Source organism: Homo sapiens, chromosome 2 (assembly GCF_000001405.40).
Source record: "Homo sapiens chromosome 2, GRCh38.p14 Primary Assembly".
NCBI lineage: Eukaryota > Metazoa > Chordata > Mammalia > Primates > Hominidae > Homo > Homo sapiens.
The window spans coordinates 105,091,634-105,111,011 of NC_000002.12; the positions used below are offsets into that span (position 1 = coordinate 105,091,634).

Sequence of the window (19,378 nt, forward strand, 5' to 3'; positions counted from 1 at the left end):
TAAGGTTATAAAAAACTGAGTTTCACAATCCATATTAACTAAGAATCTCAAGCATTAGTTGTTTCCTTCTCCATAAACACTTTAGAGTGATTATTCTGGCTTCTAATTTTAAGGGGTTAATTCCAAGTTGTTTACTTTCTAATCACATGTTCAAGAACTATTAAAAAAAATGCACAGAGGAGCAAGGATAATTTATTTCAAGAGGTTGCCCTTTAAGTCAAGTATCTCTTGAATTTTTAAATAGCTTGATTGTTCGGTTTTAAAGGAAATCATAAACATTAAAGTAACACAGCTTGAACAGCCAAAGATATATTTGCCAAATGTATTATGAAATATAATTTAAGAGGTACATTTTCTCAAAATCAAACTCTTTCCATATTACTATACATAACTTACTTGAAATTATTTATAAAGCTCCCCTTGATACAGTTCTAATAAAAGAGAGCAAATTACACTTGAAGATCATCTAAATACTTTTTGAAAGTGAATTTAAATCTCAATTTCATAAACATAATACAGAGAAATTGATTTTTCTTTGAATGATAAATCTCTTTGTTTCTTGAAAGAAAAGATTTGGCACTAAAGATACGCAGGAAAAGTGATGCATCTGCATGCTGTTTTAAAAGCAGCGTGAAGATGCAGAAGTGTCATCCTGTCAAAATTCATCAGGAAAAGCAACATTGGAAAGATCAAGTATGCAAAAAATAGAAAAAATTTAGCAAATGCAATTACACTTGCACCTTCTAATGAATTTTTATTGTCTGCAGTATATGCAGTTCATTCGGCTGCTAGAAAAGTTATTGACATCGCAGTGTGGTGCTGCTGAGGAAGAATTTGTGCAGAGGTTTCGAAGAAGTGTAACTCTTGAATCAAAAAAACAGCTGATTGAACCTGTACAGTATGATGAGCAAGGAATGGCCTTTAGCAAAAGTGAAGGTAATGACATTCTGTGGAGAGAAAATAAATTCAGTGAAGGTTGAAAAACTACAATTATTTTTATTTGCTATTGCTTTCTGGTATCCATTAGATTTTTTATTTGTTTATTTTTGCTACCGTTACTTTGGATTTCCTAATTTTTAAGATTCTGTTGAAGTTTTTCAAAACTGAACTGTATAATATCCTAAGAAAAAAATGTGGATGCATACCTATACAGTCATATTAACACTTTTTCTTTTCACACATTTATATTGTTGAATCTTTTAATTTTCACATTTTAAGCTGCTAGAATCGGTAAAATATTTATAATAAAGTTTTCTTTGCAAAAAATGAAAATGCTCAATGAATCTGCATATCAAATGCCAAAACTATGTAATGTGAAAACTTCACGTCCTTAACTCACATTTTTCTTGTTCAGAGCCATTAGACGTAGTCCAACTTTTACGACTTGAACTATTAAAATATTTACAACTCTTAAAAGATTTCACGTCATTGTCATTTTTAACTACTGTGGTGTTTTCAAAGAAATGTGACCTTTCCTGAGTATTTTTTTATTTCTACTAGTTATATTTCATCATACTATTTATATATTTCTAAAACTTATGTTGTTAGATATATTCTTACTGTTTATAAAAGAAGAATGCTATGTAAATTGGTTGTGGATTCTCGTAAGGGAAATGAATATAAATTACTTTGTTGGTTGTTCAAACTAATTTAAAATCATTGTAGTGTTTCTAAAATGGAATTGAAGAACAAAATTACCCCACAATGAGCTTTATTGCATCTGTTGTGCTGTAGTTTACCTGCTTTATTTTTGTTTGACTTGAAATAATAGTTATAGGACTTGCTTATGTACAGTGTTGTGTATTATTTTGGGGAAACAAATTTTAATGTAGTTTTACCTGTCTCAAAGCGCAGGTCTTCAAGATATTTACTAATAGGAATTTTATATTTTTGAAGGTAAAAGAAAGACTGCAAAAGCAGAAGCAATTGTTTATAAACATGGAAGTGGAAGAATAAAAGTAAATGGAATTGATTACCAGCTTTACTTCCCGATCACACAGGACAGGTTCGTTTTGGGTTCTGATTTTTTGTTTTTAAAGGAAACATACTTTATAATACATCATGATCATTTAAGAAGGCTTGTGATCTTCTAATTCTGTTTATCTGAATGATTATTTCTCTTTACCAATGTAACATATCAAACTAGCTAATTGAAGCTATTTTTTAAAGCAGCTTCCAGATTTTTTAAAAAGCATCTCTAGAATTCCTCATTAATTGACTCTTCTTCCCCTTTTCATCAGATCCTACTGCAGTTTGAGTAGTCTTAGATGTAGCTTATGTTCTGAAGTGCAGACTGTGCCAAAATGTAAAAAATTTTGATTTAGATTTCCACCTTCTAGTTTGGGGATGGGCGTGCACAAAACAAAACCACCACCACAACAACCAGCCTTGGCACTTAAAACTGACCTAACTCACAAGGCAAAGAAAAGTGCAAGTAATTTCTTGTGGCTTGTGTATGTTTTTCTGATCATAAATATTAGAAAAATTCTGCTTTATCATTTTGGATTTTTTCCTATTCAGAGGAATGTGATTATATATATTGAGCAAGCAAAGAAACCTAGCATTTATGGGTTAAAATAAGAACTCATCAGGCTTTGCTTAGTTCTGGGTGCTAAATATGGCAGTTTTAATTTTTAAACTTTGTATCCTATGGAGAAATAGACATTAATCATAAATAGATACTACAGCTCTTCTAATCTAAATATACTCATCTCAGAACTCTCTCTGACTTGCTATATAAAGGCCTCTTCTTGATATGGTTATTATTTTCCCAGTACTTACTGTCATTATCCACGAGTAACAGAAGTTTGGTATGATTAGTTCCTCCTTTCCTAATCCTTCTCCTGTTTCCTGCATGTGTTACGGTATTTAAGGTCAAAAGGGCTAAAACTCTTTTGATACCAATGCTGATATAGGCAAAAGAGGACCCTCCTAATACAGTGTAAGCTTCTGGACACAATAATTATTTTAGGAAATGTGTGTTTATTTTATTTGTGTGTGCCTGTGTCAACAAGCAGTGCATTCTTAACTCCATTTAAGATGAATTAGTTCTGCTATTATCCTCACAGGACAGGGGATGGAAGAAGCTTTTATTTCCCTTAGGAAAAGCCAGAGAGAAACCCATACCCCAGGGTTTGATAACTTCAACATTGGGAACTATAGGAGGACTGTTCTTTAACCAATAACCTGTCTGTTGATTTGTATTCAGACATAACTCCTGATGATTTAACAGCAAGTCTCAATTCTGGCTTGATCTCATAATGAAATTACATCTTTAGATCTTATTCTTTGGTTTGAATTCAGCAGCTTTTTACTAAGGACATCTATGTCTCCAGTCTTGTTCTGGGCATTGTGAAGATATCAGAGATATTTAAGATATGATTCCTATTGTCAAGAAACTTCCTACATGGTTGGGAAGCCTAAGCCTAGTCTTGGTGGGAATGGGCACCTACAACTATTTTAAAGTAGTTGTAAGGATTTAGGGCAGTCACTTCAGGAACTTACAAATCAGCAGTGAGGTGACCATTGACTAATAGGAAGACTAACCAACCCAGAATCAGGGATCTTGATCGGAATTCTGTCATCACCTAACACACAGTGAAGTGGGTTAGCCACGTAAGTGAAGTTACAAGGGAGGCTTCTGGACAGCCATTTGTTTGGGAGCTTAAACACTTTCCTGGCTTAATTTTTAAAATTTTATGATTCTTTAACAAATGCTTATATAAATAAAAAGAGACTTCAATTAAAATCTAGAAAAATAGATTTCATAATGTAATTACTGGATATATAACTGAGTCATGGAGCCAGATGGTCGAGGTAAATGCAATAGTGGAATTAGATTTTCAGTCTGTACATTTTTTTTTTCTTTTTTTTTTTTTTTTGAGATGGAGTTTCGCTCTTGTTGCCCAGGCTGGAGTACAGTGGTGCAATCTTGGCTCACCACAACCTCCGCCTCCTGGGTTCAAGCAATTCTCCTGCCTCAGCCTCCTGAGTAGCTGGGATTACAGGCATGCACCACCATGCCTGGCTAGTTTTGTATTTTTAGTAGAGACGGCGTTTCTCCATGTTGGTCAGACTGGTCTCAAACTCCCGACCTCAGGTGATCTGCCCGCCTCGGCCTCCCAAAGTGCTGGGATTACAGGCATGAGCCACTGCGCCCAGCCTAAATTTTCTTTTATATTTACTTTTTTTTTTTAAGAGACAAGGTCTCTTTATGTCACCCAGGCTGGACTCAAACTTCTGGACCCAGACTGGACTCAAGCTGCTGGGCTCAAGCAGTCCTCCCACCTCAGCCTCCTGAGTAGCTTGTACTTTAGGTGCTCAGCTTAAATTTTCTTTAGTTATCATAGTATATTAATAGATACTACTTATAATACTGTTTTTATAACTTATGGCTACTTTTCATTTGGTTTCTTGGAAGCATTTGTTCAAAAAGACAGTATAGATTTATGAGTTTTTTGTTGTTGTAGGAGTTATGTCATCCCTACATCGTATTGTTATAAATTCCGATTTGCTATGGCTTTTGAAAGTCATCTTTTGCCCATCTGCTTGTGATTATTTTACTAGTGTGGTATGAAGAATAGCACTTGAATGTCCTGTCCATACCTGTCTCTCAGCTTAACTGTGTTATATAAACTTGATTTTGGGTCTAGAAGCTACAGCATCAAAGAAAGCAAACGCAATATAAGTGAGCTTTTCTGCATAAAAGTGTAGCAAGATATTAAGGCAAAATAGCAAAATCAAAGTGCTTGACAGAGGTAATGGTGAACATCTTACCTGGCGTGAAAATGATATTCAACAAATACTTGTTCAGTTGAGCAGGAGAAAGTCCAGGGCCGTGTTTTGTCTGTGGTGCCTGCCCCAGGATCTTGTAGGCCCTGACCGACCCTGAAAGAGCAGGCCTGACAGGGGTTGTGTAGAATGTCACCTGGCCCCAGGAAGGTAGCAGGACCCTATGATTTAGAGAACTTTAAGAATATTGGGAATAGGTGTTTGGTGTCAGGGAAGTGCAAGGTCGAAAATAGTTTTAGAAACTTTAAAAACTAACCATATCAAGATGAGCATTATACATTATACAGATACACTTATAGTAGACTTTATTTAGTGAATCCAAATGACATGTGATAATTGTTTGGAAAGGCCTATTGATTTTATATCTGATCATTCAATCCAGAGACATTAAATTCAGTTGATTAATGGAGTTCCCCAACTGTAAGACTTCTTTACGAGATTATTTTCAAGCTTTGAAAAGATCTTCTGAGATAAAGGGGATCAGCAAACAGTAAGAGTGTGTTGCTATACCCAAGCAAAAGAAATAAATCTTAATCTCTCAGCAAATCATTCAAAATGTCAGAAATGTTAGTGTTTCTATATCTTGGTAAAATGGATTGATTGAGAAGTATGAAAAGTATAACAGTGGCATGCAGAATATTGTTTTTATGAATATTCAGAATTTCAGTTGTTTACATAATTATGTATCTTTATAGTAAACGTAACCACATTTACTTGTGCTGTGCTTTAGAGAACAGCTGATGTTCCCTTTCCACTTTGTTGACCGGCTGGGAAAGCACGACGTGACCTGCACAGTCTCAGGGGGCGGGAGGTCAGCGCAGGCTGGAGCAATACGACTGGCAATGGCAAAAGCCTTGTGCAGCTTTGTCACCGAGGACGAGGTCGAGTGGATGAGACAAGGTATGAGTCTAGGTGGGACGGGCATGGTGGCCCAATACTGGCTATACATGTTCATCTGCTTCTTGTCCTAGTGCCTGAAGTTCGTAAGAAAATATATAGTTACATATGTAATATTTCACTTCGCTGTCTTCTTTCTTGCTACAGAACCATAACAGTATTTCTCAGATTTGATTTCTACAAGGTGAGCTTGAATTAGAAAAAGGGGAGAACTCCCCACACTGATTATTTGAGCCCTGCTAAAATGTTCAGTTCCAAGGTCAGGGAAAAGTTAATTTTGGCCTTAATGCATAACCTTTTATCCAGCTTAACAAAGTGCTTAGCTTAGTTATATTTAAGAGACAAATTGCTTGTTTTTGTTTTATCATAGAAATGTGTGGGTTTTTTGTTTTTGTTTTTTAAACAGTCTCTCTCTGTCAGCCAGGCTGGAGTGCAGTGGTATTATCATAGCTAGCTGCAGCCTTAAACTTCTGGGCTCGAGCAATCCTCCTGCCTCGGCCTCCCAGGTAGTTAGGACTATGACATACACTCCCAAACCTGGATAATTTTTGTATATTTTGTAGAGACTGCATTTTGCTATGTTGCCCAGGCTGTTCTCGAACTCCTGGCCTCAAACAATCCTGCCTTGGCCTCCCAAAGCACTGACATTACGTAGCATGAGCTACCACACCTGGCCTGTCATAGAAATTTGTAATAATTATTTGGTTAGTGATAAAGTTCTTTGGGTATTTTGTTTTTGTAAGTTATTGGAGGTTTCCATTTTTTCCCATTGTGGTGTTTGAATTTTCTTTTACCCTACTCTGTGTAACCCTGTTACCTGGGCATGAATACAAGAGTCCCTGTGTAATGTGAAAAAGGATGGGCAGTTGATTCTTACCTTAGACTACTGCTTTAGAAGTTGGAATAAATTGGGGAAGTTTGAGCTGAAGACCATCTTCGCACTGTTGATGAGAAGAGGAAAGCACCATGTGTGCTATTGGCGGCTGCATGGTCGTGGGCAAGTCACTTAGCACCTAAGTCTATAAGCTCCTCCTCTGGGCAAGTAGGTTGGTCTCTGTGCACCAGACCTTCTAGTACAAGCCGCTGAGGTTCAATAAAAACACTACCTATGGCTTAGGCTACTTAATTGCTTAAGGCTCTTAAAAATCCATTTGCTTATAAGCAATTTGTCATCATATGGGATTCATATCTAGTCATTGAAGTAATTTGCTAGAATCTTAACAATTTGATGAGTTTGAGCTACTGTGCATATCTGAAAGTAATAAAGCATTCTTACTTACAGTTGAAGCTAGAACTTAGGTCTTTTCTGTATTTTGTCAAATACTGCTGTTTTATTCCATGCATGTCCTTTAAGTACAAGCAAGTGTAAATGTTATGGGTATATCATAAACAAGGTTTTCCTTTGCTCTATGTACATTAAATGGTCCTTAATAAAATACCCAAGCCTTGTATACAGTAGGAGGAGTGCTAACGTTGGAAGAGTGAAAAAGACAAGGAAAAAGTATGGTCCATTTACATATTTATAAAAGCAATGTAAGAGCTTTCCCATCAGTGGTATTCTTGGAATCTATGGTCTTTACTAACTTACTATAGCTCCAGCCACTGCTGGGGCTCTTCCTTATGGGCCATAGCTAAGAGTAACCCCAGCAGTTGCCTAGAAACATAATCACTCCTGATGATTGGGAGAATGAAAGTTTCCCGTTTAAACTGACTTTATTCTTCTAGAAGAAACTGCCTGTGCTGAGAATACAACTCTAAAACTTATTTTTTAGATTCTAAAACAAAAAAACAGGGAATATTATTATGGCATAAATTAAAATAATGAAAGTTTCCTTTTTTAAATGTTTGACAAGTCATATTTGTGTGTATATGCATATTCATGTAAACTGTTAATAGATGGTATCTAAGTACTTTCTCATACTTCACCTTTACAGTAAGTTTTTCTTCTCTGCCTCTTGTCTCCATTAAAACTCTGTCCTCTGCAATAGTAAGTGTGCAGGTTAAGTTCCCTTACAGTGAATAGTGACCGCCCACACAAGAGGAGCTTTATCTCACTTAGGTTGAGCAAGCTTAAAAACCAAAAGGGAGCCATGATTCTTATAATTTAAGGGAAGCAGGTTTAAATAATGTAACTTGTGTTTGTCTCAGAGGTTGGAAAAATATCCTGAAAGAGTGGAAGCAAACTGCCATCATGAGGTTGATACTGGGCTGGTAAATTATTACTGGTCTGGTTGCTTTCCTCTAGTTTTTTTTCTCAGACAACAGTACCTATAAATTTATGAACCTGCTTTTCTTCTGGGCAGCATGCATATTAATGGTTCCTAAAGGCTTCTCTTTTTATGCTGCAGCTGGACTACTTACTACTGATCCACGTGTGAGGGAACGGAAGAAGCCAGGCCAAGAGGGAGCCCGCAGAAAGTTTACGTGGAAGAAACGCTAAGGGTTTGCTCCCAGGAAAGGAGAGGAAGAGCTATATATATGTGCCGACATGTGGCAGACACACAGTAAATAATGGCTGACCAGCATGAGGGCAGTACTGTCAGAAATTTCTTTGAGCTGTGAGATGGATTTATTTTTAAATGCTACTTTGTAAAGGTGACCTTTAAAAAATAAAAGGAAAATAAAGAATGTTAGTTTCATTCTGCCGCTTTATTTTTTTAACTTTTTCAGAATATAGTTTTAAGAAGCATAATTCATAGAATCTGGCATATTAGACCTGAAAGGAATATTCAGCAAAATATAGTCAAGTTACCTCATTTTGCAGACAAGAAGGCTTAGCCCCCCAGATTAAGCAACCAACCAGAGCCATACTGTTGGTACTTTCAATGCTAGAGCTAGACTCATTTCCCCTGATTCTGTTGCTTCCCCACTTGGCAATTGTCACCACGTATTTTTCAAAATGAGAAGTGAGAGTGCTTGCTCAGAAGAATGAAGTAACTTGAGTCGGTCAGGAGCTCAGCAGAGCCAGGGAGCTGAGCTGCCAGGTGTGGGAGGTGCTGGTATACACAACAGCCAAGTGAAAGGCACAGTCAAGCCTGTCTGTGCTCACTCGCTGCAGGAATACGAGCAAGGCTGCGGCAAAGAAGGCACCCCTGCCCCCTATTTTGGATCAGTTTTGTTTTGGGGGTATTTAAAAATCTTTTTATTGTGTATTTTTAAGGTATGCATCAGGATGTTTTGATATACATTTACAGAGTGAAGTGATTACTGCAGTCAAGCAAATCAGCGTAGCTCTCATATAGTTTCCCAGGTGTGGGTGTGTGGAAAGAGCATCTAAGGTCTCTTCTCATTTCCAGCATACAATACAGTATGATTCACTGTTGTCCTCATGTTGTACGTTAGGTCTCTAGACTTACTCATCCTATGTAACTGCAGCTTCGTACCTTTTGACCTGCATCTCACGTTCCTCCACCCCCTACCCCCAGTGATTACATTCTACTCTGTGCTTCTATACATTTGACTTTTAAGACCCCACAGCTAAGTGAGATCTTGCACTACTTATCTTTCTGTTCCTGGCTTACTTCATAGTATCCTCTAGGTTCATCCACGTTGTGGCAAATGGCAGGATCTCCTTTTTCAAGGTTGAATAATATTCCATTGTGTTTATATATGCCACAGTTTCTTTATTGAAACAATTGTGGATTCCATTTTGGATCAGCACAGATATGGAGAAAAGTGGCTTCAAGCTTCCCTTCCCCAGGAAGTCTCAGCTGAGGAGCCTGAGGGAGGACTTGCATGAAAGGAACAGATCCCTCTGAATGAAGGCACCCAGCCAGGAGTGCACATAGCTCTGGAAGAGCACGGGCTGCGGGGAGGTGGGCTGAGTCCTTGACTGTGGCCCCCAGGACCTGTCATGCACTGGCTGTGCACAAGTCAGGTGTGGGGAGTGTAGCTTGCCCCCGTGAGGCCCACCAGGCAGTCTTTATGATTGACCATGGTTTGGCATGAAAGATCACACATAGGTGTTTGGCCAGGAGTGAGACTCTTCAGTCATAGCTAAGCGTTCAATTGAGTTTTGCTCTAGGATTTCTAAAGTACCTTAAAATGAAGAAACTTTGGCATTTTAACTCTAATGCAATTGTGCAGTAGGTTTTTGAGGGAGGAAAGGGGCAGTTGGTAACAGGGGTACTTTAAAACCCATTTTAAGCCAGGTGTGGTGGCTCACGCCTGTAATCCCAGCACTTTGGGAGGCTGAGGCAGGTGGATCACTTGAGGCCAGGAGTTTGAGACCAGCCTGGCCAACATGGTGAAACCCCATCTCTACCAAAAAATACAAAAATTAGCCGGGTGTGGTGGCATGCGCCAATAGTGCCAGCTACTCGGGAGGCTGAGGTGGGAGAATCGCTGGAACCCAGGAGGCAGAGGCTGCAGTAAGTCGAGATTGTGCCACTGCACTCCAGCCTGGGTAACAGTCAGATCCTGTCTCAAAAAAAAAAAAAAAAAATCCATTTCAATGCAGTTATTTTAAGTAAAAATATTGCTTCAAGAATTAGACCCTCAATGCTCAATTATCCTTTATATAAAGAGTTGTATGCCACTGATTTCTTCATAAGTGTCTTTTTAAAATAATCTTGAATAAGTTCTGAGACATGTATATACACATCAAATCCTTTATGAGGTAAAATAAAATAACATGGTGATGAACAAGTGAGAGTGAGTACCCAGTACCCTGCGGTACCCAGTGCCCTTTTCATTTCAGATGAAACTGTAGAAAATACTTTCTGGGGTTTTTTCTGTGTGGCGGTCATTCTCTAGTGAAATTGTCTGTGGCAGGTTTTGGTCGGTGGTGTTGATTTAGCCTGTATCTGTTGGAGTATACTTTTTACCATTTTGACAAGAGAGAAGTGACAAGTGGTTACCCCACGTGGCGTGGGTGTGCTGAGATGGGATGGCGGGCAGCCCTGCCGGCACGGATCGCCCGCTTGCTGAGCTCTTGCCATACCTGGTGTCCTGGGGCAGTGCAGAGCTGCCTGAAGTATATGCCATCTGGCCCTGCATCAGCTACTGTTGGTATCGTGGAGGAGACAAAGTCCTCAAGTCTAACGGGAGACCTGGAGTGCTGCTCGTACAGTGCCAGGAGGAGAGCTGAGGAAGGGGGCCCTGAGGACAGTAGCACTCTGAGGAGGAGGTGGTGGGGAAAAAAGAGGCCATGAAAGGAGAGGGTGGGAGTACAGATGGAGAAAATGGCGAGAAAGGAGGAAGGAAAGTTCAGGAAATGTGCAGGGAGTGAAGCCAGGCGGGCCAGGGCATTGCTGGGGAGGGACGAGGTCCCTGCGGAAACCAGCTGGGAAGGAGGCTGAGGTGGATTTGTGGAGGGTCTGAAATTCATGGTGATGTTCCTGCACTGCCAAAGGGGAATCAGCCTTTTTTTCTCCTTTGAGAGAACAGATGAGGGTTGAAATTAGAACTGTGTTTTTAAACTATATTTTAGCAACCTTTAAAATATATGTATATATATATTAAGTAGAGTCATAGTGCATAATATAACAACAAAATCGGAGCCTTAACTCTCACCTTCTTCTGGGCCTCAGGAACCCCGAGCTCATGGGAAAAGTCTTGAGGATCTCCCCATCAGGAAGGTCACGGAGGGACTGCAGGAGCAGGGAGTTGCTAGAAGGAAGAGACCTGCCAGGCAGCTATTGTACATGGAGGGGATGGGACCCAGTGCAGGGAACAGAAAGGAAGTAGGTGTGAGAAACGTTGCCACTCTCACCTGGACCAAGTGCGATAGCTGATTGGCTGCAGGAGAGCTGGGGGCGGGTATTCGGTATGAGATCCACAGGCTGCTGGGAATGCAAAGAGCCAGGAAGACAGGAAGAAAAGTTGATGGGAGGAGGAGGAGACACCAGAGGGGTCGGCTCGGGTTTCAGGTGTTCGGGGCCACCTCATATGAGATGCTTGAAATAATTGGACTGTGACTCAGGCGACGGGTCAGCCTGCTGACAGATTTGGGAGGCTGCTGCGTGGAAGGGGAATTTGAAACGTGGGCTGGATCAGCACGGAGGATTGGGCAGGGAGAAGGCCAAGGCTCAAGTGGAGAAACAGCCATCAAGTTTAAAGTAGGAAGGAGGGAAGAGCCAGCAAAGGGGGTGGTGAGCGGTGATAGGAAGACAGCAAGCCAGGCACAGCGGTCAGGGACGTCAGTGATGACCAAGAAGCGGCCTCCAGGAGAGGCGAATGTTACAGGTGCCTTTCCCCGTGAGGTCTGGAAGAAATACTGGCTTGTAACCTCGCAGGCCACTGTACCCCTTGAGTCTCAATTTCTTTGAGTCAAATTGGGGTCATTTTCTGCCCTACCAGCCCCATCTGCCCTTGTGTGACGATCAAGTAAGATAAGTGTAAAACCACCGGCCATCTGCTCCATTCCAGCTGTAATAGGAACTAGACTGTGGACAGTGTTGATGTGAGGCCTCCAGGGAAGAGGATTAAAGTATATCGGAGCTCTTGTTCCTTTGTTCAGGCTTGACACAGTCTCCTTTGTCACCAGGTTTGTTAACCACAGGAGCACTGAGCTTCTCAGACATCCCACACCTTTGTGGGAAATACCTGTTGGGAAGTATTTTTGACACACACTGTGTGCATACATTGGGAAGAGCTCTCTAGTGGCTATTTTTTTTTAATAGGCATTTGACAAGATTATTGCCTTAAGGCGACAGTGAGAGCTAATGCTTCTGTAGCTCCTATTCTGTTCCAGATACTGTTCTAAATACAAGTAACGCATTCGATCCTCTCAGCCAACCCTATGAGGTAGATATTGAGAAAATTAGTGCTCAGAGAGGTTCAATAACTTGCCCAAAGTCCTAGAGCTAGTGAGTGCCCAAGCCAGGTTGGAACCTAGAATCCCGGCTCCAGAGCCAGTGCTCTGAACCACTGTGGAAGAATACCAGGCGGGCTATGACGGCATGCAAGCCAGGCACACAGCCTGTGCTAAAACCGTCTGTGAAAGGAGAGAAGACTGCATTGGTACAGTCAGAAGACTTGATGGGAGAGGTGGATGTCAGCCAGATCCTAATGGATGGGTGTTGATTAGTAAGCACTATACTATGCTCTCCAACCAAGCTAGAACCCTCATCTTATTCAGGAAGGCGATGTCATAACCACTCCATCAAGCTGGGATCATTATGAGGACAGTCAGTGGGCCATACGATTGGAGGAAAGCATTCCGGGCAATGTGATGGGAAGAGCTATGAGAGCCCAGGGATGAAGTCAAGGTGACTGTGCCACCTGTTTGCCCAGTGTGGCCCCACCATCCCGCCATCCCAGTGTGACTACTAGATAGTTCCCCCTTTTACTCTCAAGTGTCCCAGTTTGAATGACAAATCATGAGTTTGAGGAAGTCTGCCAAACATTGAAATCATTTGCAGAGTGTCACAGATGTGTGCGTTGTTTCTGGGCATAGGTCCCTTGTTCAGAACATGCCCTAAGGGGGCCATCCCCATGGCGTAAGGAGTTTGGTTTTTGTTTTTTGTTTTTTTAAGGAAAATGAGCCTAGCCTTTGTGTGCAGCACAGAATCCAGTGGGGGAAGTGCAGCAGGTGTTGGTAGGAGGCTCCGGAGATAAGGCCTGTACCAGGTGGGAGGGGAAGGCGGGCCCCCAAGACTGCAGAGGTATTGGTGGTGATGTTTATCTGAAGCTGGGAGGTGGTTGCCTTAGTGTCCACTTTATTATACCTTCCAAATACGACTCACATGCTTATTATGCACTACTGTATCGTAAAAGTAGATGAAAAACCACCTGAAGAAGTATGTACATGGTCCAGAACACGGGCTCTGGAGTTCCTGTGTGACTTTGGACGAGTTGATCACCTTAAACCTCTACTGCTCATTTGTGAAGGAGAGAGAATAGCAACACCTGTCCAAGGATTTCGAGGATTTGCAACAATCCACGTGAGCCACTTAGTCTATAGGAAGAGCTCTATAAACATTGGTTATGATTCTCTTCCCCCCTCAGAAAATCCCTTCTTAACTTCTGTCATAGGGTTCAACAAGGGTGCACAGAGACCCAAGAGTGTGGAAGAGGAAGCCATAGAGTGATGGAATAAATAACTGGTTTCCTTGAAAATGAATGGCAAAGTCATCTGGTACATTTTCCCTCCTTTTTTTAGCACTAAGTTCATTGACCTGACTACTCAGAAAAAATTAAAACATGATGATATCAATGTTGGAGTGATTTGATGTTGTAGACCAGATGTTTTTATGCCAGTTAAAATACCTCAGCTAGTCTCCATTCAGGAAACCCCACAGACATTGAGTGTGTTCAGCCTCTCACAGAACCATCAGAACCATATTAGGTAGCTCCTGCTAAGAACTTATAAATATTTATAAGAAAGGATCAGTATATTGTTTTTATAAATATTGAAGTTTAATAGAAAGGCTATAATGCATCCTCCAAAATTAAGAGGCAAGGAGTAATAATAATAATCAGGCAAACAATTATTGCCACCTTTGCTCAATAACTTTGTAGGCTACAGAAGTGTAGCTTAAGGCTTTCTTCTTATTCTAAGTCTTCGGTTAAAACACTTTAAATGCAATAAACCCATTACTAAAAATTGAAAGTAATCTTTGAACACTAAGCTATAAAAATTACTGAAACTCAACTCAAAATCAAAATGAATACAAAAGCAAAATCTTACAATGAATTTTTCTGTCATTTCACAGAAAATACAGATTAATACTGAGGTATGAAATATTAAAATATATTTTAAAAATAATTCAAGTCATGTTACTGCATTACTTTTCCTTCAATACAGGCCATTAGCCTTTTAAACTAAATAATAAGATTAATGTCATAGCCAAGAAAACAATAGAATTAAGAATTATATTAGAATATGTAACAAACCTGCACGTTGTGCACATTACCCTAAAACTTAAAGTATAATAATAATAATAATAATAATAATAATAATAATAATAAAGAATTATATTAGAATTAGAAGAGAATTAAAGATCATGATTTTTATGGAGCAAAAGCCTGTATTTAACCATGTTTTTCTGATGCTTTGACAGAATTTTGGGGCCTTCCTGACCCTGGAGGGACTGCCCCTCCCAGGGCTGGCCAATGTCTAAAAATAGTAAATTTTCTAGAGATAGTGAAGGACTAGCCTGCAAGTACACCTTTCCTATACAAACCAGCCAATCCAGAGCCACACCCAGCCACCTCCTTTATGGGCTGTCACACCCCAGGCAGAAATTCCCCAGCCCTGATCACCCCAGGGCATCGGAGAATTAAGGACAACCCCCACATGCTAGAGCCTGCTGAAATTAATGCAAGCAGTCAATCCCAAACCCACTGAAATTACTCAAAGTAGCCAATCCTAAACCCACTGAATTTAATGCAAAGTGGCCAATTCCAAAACCCACTGAAATTATGCAAAATAGTTAATCCTAAACCTGCTGAAATGATGCATAGTAGCCAATCCTAAACGCACAGAAATTATTCAAAGTAGCCAATCCTAAACGCACTGAAATTATGCAAAGTAGCCAATCCTAAACCCACTGAAATGATTCAAAGTAGCCAATCCTAAACCCACTGGAGTTACTCAAAGTAGCCAATCCTAAACCCACTGAAATTACGCAAAGTAGCTAATCCTAAAACCACTGAAATGATTCAAAGTAGCCAATCCGAAACCTACTGAAATTATTCAAAGTAGCTAATCCAGTAATTCCATTGGAATTACTCAAAGTAGCTAATCATAAACCAAATGAAATGATTCAAAGTAGCCAATCCTAAGTCCACTCAGCTGCCTACCCTGCCTCTTCTTCCAGGAAAAGCCACAGTCAAGGTTCTTGCCCATACGTACCCTCGCTCCTTCTGCCTCCCCACGTGGTCCTGTACAGCGTGGCTGCCCCCTCCTGGGGTCTATGAATAATAAACTGTCTTTTCGATGGTAGTCGTCTCCTGATCTGTTGACCTCCCCATACGAATAATAATAAAACCCATCTTTTTAAACAAGGCCTCTGTGTCGGGCACTGTTACTACAGCAGTAAAACAGATCAGAGTGTAACTTTCTTGTGTTTGTGTCTTTTTGTATTTGATTTTCATTCACTCAACAAATATTTATCTACTAAGGTGATAAACATCAGCCAGCCAAAGTTCCTGCTAGGAAATTTTTTGAAAAGGAAGAAGGAAGACCCCTTTATTAGAGTGGTGAGTTCATATAACTTTTCATTAAATCACTGCTACGGAAGCGTTAACAAAAGTTACAGCCACTGTTGGATCTTCTATGAAAACTGTTCAGGAGAACTTCAAATTTATTCCTTTTTCATTTTCCCAGGACTTGATTGTACTTTCTAAGAAAGATTGAAACCTCTCCAGGGGAGCCAGGCTCACAGTAAGAGGTCTTTCCCTCCATGTCAGGAATGAAAGATTCATCCCGAACTCTCCATAATTGTATCTAACCTCACGGCAAACCTTCTCCACCAAGGATGCCATCATTACTTTTGCAGAGTAAACTGTTCCCTCACAGTGTCCCCCTCTATTAAGTTGAATCTCTTGTTTGTAATTTCAGAATATTGCTTCTTTGAAGTGAGGGAAGGAAGTGGTGGAGGGAAGGTGTTTTTTCATAGTGGTGTTTAATAGCTAAACTAAAGGACGCTGAGGACTGTATTTCAGTCAGGGGTTGTATTCGGTGACATTAGGACACTCTTGGTTGCAGGCTGCACAAGTCCAACTTGTTCTATCTTTTAATTGAAAGGAGGAAGCTCTTTCAGTTTATTGAGACACTCTTGGGATGTCCAGTGTTCTTGAGAGAAGAGTTGAACAGCTGACCTGCAGGCAGGGCAGTAGCATCTGGGTCTCACAGCTGAAATGCCCCCAAAGTGCCCATCGCCACCGTGTCTGCATTCTTCCCTTCTAGGCAGAACCGCTTCTTCCAAAAGATGTCAGGAAATCACCCACTGGCTTATCTTGAGCTGGCTCTAGGGAGCTGGGATCATGTTGGAATGATGGCAGCTCCAGTGAAGTTTGTGGTTGGAGCAGAAGGAATAATTCCTAGAAGACAGCAGGTCCTCTTCCCAGAAGGCAGTGAGTCGCACAGACAAAAGAGCCATCTTGAAGTTGTCATTTCAGTTTGTAGAATGCAGTCTGAAGCCTCTCTCTGCCACAGGTTATTGGGGGCCCCTCACAAAATGTCTTTCTGCCCCATCTTTTCATTCAGGCTTGTTTCCTCTTCACAGTACCCTCCCACCCGCCATCCCAGATGGCTGAGCCCACACCGGCCCCAGCAACTCCCTGCGCCTCTGCCCACGAGGGAGGCCTGGCCCCTTCCCACCTCCACCCTGCGTCTCCTCATGCCCCGCAGCACCTGCCTGGGGCACTGATGAGGGTGCTTATGGGGGCCAGTCGTGCGTGTGTTCTCCTCCCCCCAGACACACAGGGATCCTGTTCCACCCATCCTTGGTCCCCAGGGCCTGGCACACAGAAAGCACAGAAATCAGTATTTGCCTAGTAGCTGGAGGACCTCATGACCAATGCCTCATAACGGTGTTCAGGTAATTTGGAAGGTGGCCATCTGCCCACCCATCTGCCTTGTGCAGTCTGGATTCTTCTGTCAGTCAATCCATATTTACTAATAACGTCTTTGGGTCCAGCAATCAGGGTTACAAGATACAGTCAAGTCAGAGTTTTTGTCCTGAGAGCTTCGAGTCTAATTACCGAAAAACAACAAACAGAGAAAACAATTAGAAGGCAATTAAGTCCTGGCTGTGAGGTGCTGACTGTGAGTGTCAGGGTAATGACTCAATGCTGAGGGCTTGTCCCTACATGGTGGGGGCATGACCTCACCTGTTGGGTCAGGCTGGGAGCAGGTAACAGCCTTGTGGGGTCTTGGGCTCTCGCTGGGAGAGGCCTAGCATGGTGCCCGGCACATCTTAGGTGCTCAGGTGCCACGCCTCTCTTTGCGTCTTTGTGAGCCTCCGTTTTCCTGCCTGAAAATTGTTGACAAAACCGTACCCTCCAGGGCTCTGGGCCATTCGAGGACTTAGGTGCAACACCAGCAGAGTTTCTGACACAGGATAGACCCTAGGTAAACAGGTGTTACCGCATCAACAGCAAAAGCAAGGCTGTCCCAAGGGGAAAGTGAAGGCTGACTCACAGGTAGCGTTTAGAGAGGCAGGCCTTTCTCCCTGAGAAAAGAATTAATGGGAAAATGATACTTACCTGCTATTGTACTGGATCTGGGAGTCCCAGGCCATGGTTATTTCTCCATCTGTGAGTTGGTTTGGCTTGCATTGGCTGGTTTGGAGTTCATGGTGATGTTCTTTCTTCTGGGGGCCCTGCTTGGTCCTCATCTGTCTCCCTGTACCTTGCCTGCTTCAGCACAGTAGTTACAGGGTGAGCAGCTGCAGCCTGACTCAAAGGTTAGGAGGCCTTCTCAGTAGACATCTTTGCAAACAAAGAACATCAAAGCTAGAGGCCATTGTGCACACAGTCAGCACTTTGGCCTTCTTTCAAAATAAGGTGAATTTAAACGACCCCAGAATTCCATTAAGCCACGTTGGGGTAATGGAGTCAGATGAAAGCAAAGGACTCTCACCCTGGCCAGCAGCATGGACAAGCAATGCTGTATGGCAGCGAGGGGCTCACAGTGCCTCTGACACACACCGTGGGCTGGGGTCCACATACCAGCAGCTTCAGAATTCCTGTTCAGTTCATTACTATGATGGGACACATTCAAAATTTTTATTTATTTTGAGATGTGGTCTCACTCTGTTGCCCAGGCTGGAGTGCAATGATACAGTCCTAGCTCACTGCAGCATCAAACTCCTGGGCTCAAGTGATGCCCCCACCTCAGCCTCCCGAGTAGCTGGGGCTATAGGTGTGTGCCACCATGCCCAGCTAATTTTTTTTAATGTTTTTTAGCTATGGGATCTCTCTATGTTGCCCAGGCTGGTCTCAGACTCCTGGCCTCAAGTGATCCCCCTACCTTGGCCTCTCAATTGTAATTGGGATTGCAGACGTGAGCCACTCTGCCCAGCCTTCAAAATTTTGTAGTCAAATTTTATCACCATTTATTTAGTTTCTGATTTTCTTGCTCCTGCCTTTAAAATACTTGTTTAAAAGGCATCATGGATTAATTTTGATTAATTTTGTACATAATTTCCCTAAACATAAGCCCCAGGTATCTTGTGGTGTGTGATGGGTGTTTCTAGCTGCCTGTGGGGCTTCCCCATGTGGGGACTCTCCTTGCTCAGACTGACTCTCGTTCCCTCCCTAACCTCTGCTCCCAGCCCTCCTGCTTTGCATGTGGGATCTGCAGGGAAGAAGGGGGCTGTGCTGGGCGGGGTGCAGCCCATCACCACAGAGCCGCCTGGGTCTCCACTCGCCACTGCTGAGGCTGCCCTGCTTATCGGTAGAAACCTTTGTGGGTTTCTTGGGTTGAGAAAGCAGCAGGAGAATTTGGTGACCTCTAATAAGCCACCCCAAACTCCAATCAGATCTTGAACTTGCAAACTCAGCTCCCCTGACAGAATGGAACCACTCCTGGGTCACTTAGGAGAGCCACAATGTCCTGTTGTCCAGGGAGTGTGCCTCGATGCTTGTGAAGCTGGAAGGATAACAAGACAAGAGGACAAAAGTGGCTCTGAAGGAAGTGTTGGGTATTTCTCATTTCTTTTCTTTCTTTCTTTCTTTCTTTTTTTTGAGACGGTGTCTCACTCACATTGTTGCCCAGACTGGAGCACAGTGGCACAAT

At 41.8% G+C, this 19,378-nt stretch overlaps 1 protein-coding gene and 2 long non-coding RNA genes across 6 annotated transcripts in view, besides 3 other annotated features; 2 read left to right on the plus strand and 1 right to left on the minus strand.

The window, feature by feature from the left end:
• MRPS9 (mitochondrial ribosomal protein S9) overlaps positions 1 to 8,327 on the plus strand; it is a 61,892-nt gene extending 53,565 nt beyond the window's left edge. For both annotated transcript variants that reach the window (NM_182640.3, XM_011511644.3), the window contains 4 exons: positions 768 to 936; positions 1,897 to 2,005; positions 5,522 to 5,691; positions 8,037 to 8,327. In NM_182640.3, coding sequence (NP_872578.1) covers positions 768 to 936; positions 1,897 to 2,005; positions 5,522 to 5,691; positions 8,037 to 8,128 — 540 coding nt within the window. In that variant the 3' untranslated portion in view covers positions 8,129 to 8,327. The remainder of the gene's footprint in view (positions 1 to 767; positions 937 to 1,896; positions 2,006 to 5,521; positions 5,692 to 8,036) is intronic.
• On the minus strand, positions 5,419 to 11,311 carry MRPS9-AS1 (MRPS9 antisense RNA 1). The gene is made up of 4 exons (NR_110227.1): positions 11,203 to 11,311; positions 7,615 to 7,667; positions 6,566 to 6,629; positions 5,419 to 5,765 (listed from the first exon to the last, which is right to left on the minus strand). It is a non-coding gene; the product is annotated as an MRPS9 antisense RNA 1 (long non-coding RNA).
• On the plus strand, positions 10,124 to 13,846 carry LOC105373527 (uncharacterized). 3 transcript variants are annotated; one of them, XR_923138.3, is made up of 3 exons: positions 10,124 to 13,130; positions 13,408 to 13,574; positions 13,666 to 13,846. It is a non-coding gene; the product is annotated as an uncharacterized LOC105373527 (long non-coding RNA). The 3 variants fall into 3 exon arrangements; XR_923137.3 differs by having other exon boundaries at positions 10,124 to 12,899; positions 13,411 to 13,574; XR_007087166.1 differs by having other exon boundaries at positions 10,124 to 13,574.
• Positions 11,867 to 12,728: an enhancer, noted in NCBI's record as "H3K27ac-H3K4me1 hESC enhancer chr2:105719958-105720819 (GRCh37/hg19 assembly coordinates)". NCBI's record gives its function as "activates a minimal SCP1, AML or CMV promoter by ChIP-STARR-seq in naive H9 embryonic stem cells {active_cell/tissue: H9 hESC(naive)}" and the evidence as "EXISTENCE:reporter gene assay evidence [ECO:0000049][PMID:30033119]".
• Positions 12,729 to 13,589: an enhancer, noted in NCBI's record as "H3K27ac hESC enhancer chr2:105720820-105721680 (GRCh37/hg19 assembly coordinates)". NCBI's record gives its function as "activates a minimal SCP1, AML or CMV promoter by ChIP-STARR-seq in primed H9 embryonic stem cells {active_cell/tissue: H9 hESC(primed)}" and the evidence as "EXISTENCE:reporter gene assay evidence [ECO:0000049][PMID:30033119]".
• Positions 17,250 to 18,058: an enhancer, noted in NCBI's record as "H3K4me1 hESC enhancer chr2:105725341-105726149 (GRCh37/hg19 assembly coordinates)". NCBI's record gives its function as "activates a minimal SCP1, AML or CMV promoter by ChIP-STARR-seq in primed H9 embryonic stem cells {active_cell/tissue: H9 hESC(primed)}" and the evidence as "EXISTENCE:reporter gene assay evidence [ECO:0000049][PMID:30033119]".